Genomic DNA, 6,147 nt, shown 5'->3' with positions numbered 1-6,147 from the left:
TCTGAAATTCTCTAAAAAATTTTTCAATTAAAAAAAGGGGTATGGGGAAGATTAAGCCTTCTCTTTACTTCTGACCATTAGTTCTACCAGGAGGCAGTAGCTCTTACCAGATTCATGTGTACAGTAGTTAAAAGGGAAGGAAAGAAGGAAGGAAGGAAGGAACGAAGGAAGGAAGGAAGGAAGGAAGGAAGGAAGGGAGGGAGGGGAAGGGGAGGAGGGAAGGAAGAAGGAGGGAGGGAGGGAAGGAAGGAAGGAAGGAAGGATTAAATAATTTGGGATGGTCCTGCTATATATCTAAATAAATTATTTAGTGCTTCCTTACTCACAGTTGTGAGGGCTGAATATATCTTGAGTCTAGGGGAGTGTTTCTGTTGAAAAAACCTTCCCCATTCCCAGATTCCTCTCCTATCGGATTCTCAGAAGTAACTAGGTCTTTTCCCTCAAGACAGGATGCTGAGTGATCTTTCTCTGGGAAAACTGACCACCCCCTGACAGAGATCTAAAACTTGAGATATGAAGCATTGCCCAATAAAATAGCCCAGTTAGATAGCATAACAGAGATACAATCAACAAGACCCTCCTTTGCACAATTTCCAGTCATCTTTTCCACAGCACCACCTAAATATAAGTAGTTGCCAAAGATCCCCTGACATCTGAAGAAAGCATGTATAATATGAAAAACAAGACAAAACAAAGGAACAACAGCAACTTGAAAAAAGAGTCCATATGGGGAAAAGAAAACCTCAATACTACTACGAATCTACTTAGGGATATGGGAGATGATATTGTACCACTGAAGCGGAACAGGATGCTACTAAAAATAGCTTCCACAGGAAGAAGAGCTCTTGGAAATTAAAAATATGACAGCAGAAATTAAACACTCAGTATAAGAGTTGGAAGACATGGTTAAAAAAAATCTATAGAAATTAGAGCAAAAGGATGAGAGAAATTGGAGAGAAGAGATAAGAAAATTAGAAGGTCAATCCAGGAAGTCAAACACCCAAATAATAGACAATCCAGAAAGAGAAAAGGGAGTACTTAGGATGGAGAATATTATAAAAGGGAAGTTTCCAGACCTAAAGAAGACAAGCTTCCAGTTTAAGAGAACCTGGTGAAAGATCCAAGAAAATGAATGAAAACAGACCCACGCCAGTCATATAATTGTGACGTGATTGAAGATTAGGAAAAAATAGACCATTAGGAGCAAAGCAAAGAATAGACATGCTCTTGGGGTGAGGCGGGGGGTGGATACAGGCTTCGAAAATGATTAACCAAGACAGCAGCAGATTTCTCAGAGGCAACAATGGAAGCTAGAAGACATTCAAGCAATGCCTTCAGAATTCCAAGGCAAATGAGTTTCAACCTAAATTCTTGACCCAGTCTAACTATCTTCTAAGTGTAGAGGTAGAAGGAATATATTTTAAAGCACATACAGTCTTGAATCTTTACTTTCCACACTCCCTATTGTAGGAGGCACCTGGAGGCTGTGACCCTCAAAAATGTACACTGAAATTTCAGGAATAAGCTAAGAAAGACGCATACCTGGGTTCCAGGGAGCAGGGCTTTCATCCCAAGGGAAAGTTAAAAGAAATATGCAGGATGAAGCTGAAGGGCAATGGGAAGATGACAGCTGGCAGCAGACTTTACAAGTGACCTGTCTAGATCAGAGCAGGCCAGAGGAATCTGGTAAAGACTTCCTCCAAAGAAGACGTGCTGGAATACTTAGTGTCCCTGCACATATTGAGAGGAGATGGAAGAGCCAGGTGTGAGGGCTCGCACCTGTAATCCCAGCAACTCAGGAGGCTGAGGCAGGAGGATTGCTTGAGCCTAGGAGTTTGAGGCTGCAGTGAGCTATGTTCATGCTACTACACTCCAGCCTAGGCAACAGCAAGATCCTGTCTCTAAAAAGAAAAGGAAATCTAGGCAACTGGAGAGAAGTTTAAGTTTAAATTAGTGGTGAAGGCTTAGAAAATGAAGCAGAAAAACACATATATTCACATCCAGGACAGGAAATTTAAGTACAGTGTATTTCGTACCTCAATGACGAACAGCAAAATGTGCTTGTGATAAGGTAAAGAATAACCTTTAACCCTTTGGTTCTTAGCTCTGGCTGCTGAGATACACTGGCACCAACTGTATTACTTTTTTATAAAATCCCAATGCCCAGGCCACAACTGGGAGCATGACAATAGAATTTCTGGGAGGTGGGACTCACATATGAGTAATTATTAAAGTTCCCAAAGTGATTACAATGTGCAGACAAGACTGAGAAGCACGGAGCTAACCATAGATGTAATGTTTACCCTCATGCATACCATTCCAACATCTTTATCTGCAGCCACAAATGCTTATCACCTTGACTTTCAAATGTCAGCTCTATATTCCACCTAGATGCTCTAAAAGTCCAAATCTTCAAAAATAAATGTTTCATGTTCTGTCTTAAACATGGCATTATCGACTTCCTGAGGTCACCAATCCCTTATCCCACCCCTTTTGTTCTATTGTCAAGGTCCTAATCAAGAAACCTGCTCCTTTCTCTGTCCTCTGTGGGTTCAATTCCATGGCAGACTGGCTGACTAAAGTGAAAATGACTTTTGCTGAGATCAAACAATGCAGAAATGCAAAGGAGAAAGGAAGAGAAATATTTGTTGCAAATATTCCAAATGTAAAAGTTGCAAATGTGAAAGTCCCTAAATTAGGTCACAGATGAGCTGACTTTATTTGTTCACTCTCTCCTAAAAATAAATCACTATTGACAAGCCAAAAACGATTACTAGATTTCATGATTTAAATAAGTGATGTTTATTGGTTCAGACAGTTCCAGGAATGACACAGGTCTTTCCTTGTTTCCTGGAGCTCCCACCTAAGCAACTAAACATGAAAAGGTCATGACCAACATGCTCCATGGTCCATGGATGGGTCCAGCTAAGATGAGTTTCTACCCAAGTCTCAAATATCTACATATAGCCATTCTAATCCACCCACCTCCCTTTCTACATGTCAATTGCATTAAATGGCCAAGGCTTCATTTGGGGTCTATTCCTATAACCAGGTCCCCTGATGATGGTCCCCCGCAGTGTCTGGAGTGCCATCTGACAACCTCCTCTGAAGTGAACCAGAACAGCTGTGTCTCCAGAATCTGTACAAACCCTTGATGTGAGCCCATGTTTTAATTTACTTTAATCTACCAACCTGATATTGAGAAATGGTATTTCATTATTTTTAATTTGATTTTCATGTTAAAACTGAGATTAAGTTTGTTATTTGTGTCTGTTGGCCATCTGCAATTGTTTTCTTGTAAATTGCCTGTCTGCATCTTTTGCCTATTTTTCTACATTTGCCTTTGTATCCTCCATTCTTCCTCAATCTTATTCCCTTTATTATTCAGGTTCCAGCTTTTCCTGACCACCACAGCCTCCTCCATGCCATGCTGTATTTCTCATCCCGATCTCTCATAATTCATGAAAATTACTTGTTCAGCACCTCTCTTCTCACTCAAGCTTGAGCACCACGAGGATGAACATCACGGTGTCCCTCGAAGACAACGCTGCCACCCTAGCAACTAGCAAAGAGCCTGCCATTTGTTGAATGAACAAATGGGTGAAGGTCCCCGTGTCTTACGCAACTGGGGTCCGGGCAGGAACTCCCTCAAGGGATCCCACTGAGAGAGCTTCATGAAGGAACAGCCTACAAGGGTAAGAGTAGGGCTGGGAAACCAATAAGGGATAGTGTGGGCCGTCCGGGACTAGCAACAGCAAGGAGCATTGCCTCTCCAGGTTGGAAGTGGAACAGGAAGAGAACAGCAGGGGGAATCCTAGGAAACCTGAAGCCCATCACCACTTGGTTCATACAAAACCTTCTTCCATTTGGGTCCTTAATACTTCACATTCTCAAATGCTACAGGATAATCCCATTTGTGAAACCATTGCAAACAATAAATATAAATAATTGCCAAACAAGCTCTATAGAAAAAGAAGGCAAAAATGGACCAGAAAAAAAAAATCCAAATTACCTTCCTGGCAGCATAACCCATTTGCTTTGCAACTTTGGGAACATTTTCTAACCACCCCATACCTCAGTTTCCCCATTATGAAAGTCTGTGTACTATTATTCCTCCAAAAAGTTCTTTCACTCAAGGAAAAGAAACCTCCATACAGAAAAAGAAAATTGCCAAAATTTTGTCCTATCAGCCATCTTCCACCAGGCCTTGGAATTTTCAGCAAATATCTAGTTTTGCAATTCTTTTAGCTTCACCAACCCTCCAGGGTGAAGAAAAAAAAAAAAAGCTTCCCACAAGGATTTGAGGCTTGCAAGTGGAGGAAATCTTTGAGAAAAATCTGGGTTGATGAGAAGCTAAGAAAAGCCAAGAGGAAAGAGACATATCTATATATGTTTATGCAAAAAATAGAAAAGGTTGAAAAGCAATGTGTTTCTAAAATACTGCTTCTATGAAACCAACCTTCTGTTACTCCTTACTCCTCAGTTAACTGAAAAAGGCAGGGTGATTCCCCGTCTTCTATTCATGTCCTCCTCCACAGAGGCTGGAAAACGCAGCAGCATGCAGCCCTGATGTAGGTGGACTTGGGTTCAAATCCCTCCACTTAACAGACACTAGGCACTGCACTCCACCTTTCTTCAGCTCAGTGCTATCCCATGAGAAATGGGTAATGATATCGAATCTGCTGGACTGAGAGCAGAATTCTATTATCAATGGCAAAACCTGCAGTTAGTTTTGCGCCAACCTAATAAATCATGACAATAAAATCCATGTCAGCTGATGGGCTCCTAACACAGGATGACTACTTTTATCACAGGCACTGTAGTTCAGCGATCAAAAGAGCGTCTTTATTTACCAAATACCTTTTATATTTGCCTCTATATTTAAGATATTTATATATCTTCTGAGCTCCTACTATGGGGCCAGTGACTGGGGTACAGAGGTACGGAAAGTTCATAGGGTCCCTGACCTCCTGGACCCTAGAATCTGGGGAAGAGGAGATATCACCCAAATCATGACCAAATAAACACATAATTACCAACTGTGATAAATGCTATGAAGGGAACATATGGTGTATTCAGAGAAATGGAGGGACCCAGTCTATTCAGGAAGATCTCGAGCCAGGTAGTGAGGAATTCACTAGCCATGGTGGACAAAGCAGTCCAGACAGTGGGACCAGCAAGCGCCAGGAATCTGAGATCGGAAGAATCATAGACCTTTTGAGGAGCAGAGGAAAAACCAGAGTGGGGATGCATGGAAATAGAAGAGGGAAACAAAGCTGGAGATTCCAGCAGTCCTCACACTGAGCCATAAGAAGGATTCAACAGCTGTGGTCATTTGCCATAGGAGGAATCGGCAGCCACAAAGGCAAAGACGGGCTCTCAGCTCTGCAATTTAAATTTGCAGTTCAAATACCCACTGCAACCTCCTTTTCAAATACCACTTCTAGACCCCACACCAGCTAAAATAAGCAGCAATATTTTCATGAATGGAAGATATTTCAAAGATAATATATGCATACATACATACGTCTGTGTGTATGTTTGTCTATATATGTTTGTATGTATGCATATGTGGCATTCACCTTAGCCACCTTGGGAAATGTCTACATTCACTACCAAGTTATGATCCCTTCAGATCCTTGGGTTTTTAAAAAGGCAGACACAGCAGTATCTCCCACAGCAGAGGCTCTTATAATGTGACCCTACACTCCTCCACTGAATGACTGCTGGTATCTATGCCCTTCTCCTTCAACGTGGGCTGACATCTAACGCTGCTTTGACTAACAGAAAATAGCGAAAATGACATTCTGTGACTGTGACTTATGAGGCTAGGATATAAACATGCCATCTTTCACCTTGTCCTTTTGGGATATCCGCCCTTGCGACCCAGATGTCATGCTCTCAGGGAGTTCAAAGTGAGCCACATAAAGAGATCGCATGGAGAGGCCACGTGTGGGTGTTCTGGTTGGCAGCCCAGCTCTGAGGGTCCAGTGAAGAGCCACATCGACCCCAGGCATGGGAGAGGTGTTGCTTCAGATGACTCCAGATGCAGCTGTCAAGCCACCCAGCTTTGCAATCTTTCCAGCTGAGGTACCAGATGTAGTGGAGCAGAGACAAGCCAGCCCCATTACCCCCATCCAAATTCCT

General features: G+C 42.2%; 1 protein-coding gene across 1 annotated transcript in view; it reads right to left on the bottom strand.

Moving 5' to 3' along the window:
* SLC24A3 (solute carrier family 24 member 3) overlaps positions 1-6,147 on the bottom strand; it is a 510,285-nt gene that overhangs the window by 499,947 nt on the left and 4,191 nt on the right. The gene's annotated exons all lie outside the window — the stretch shown is intronic.

The sequence above is a fragment of the Homo sapiens genome, chromosome 20 (assembly GCF_000001405.40).
Source record: "Homo sapiens chromosome 20, GRCh38.p14 Primary Assembly".
Taxonomy (NCBI): domain Eukaryota; kingdom Metazoa; phylum Chordata; class Mammalia; order Primates; family Hominidae; genus Homo; species Homo sapiens.
Note: the sequence above shows the minus strand (reverse complement) of the source record. Positions and strands in the feature narration are given on the sequence as shown.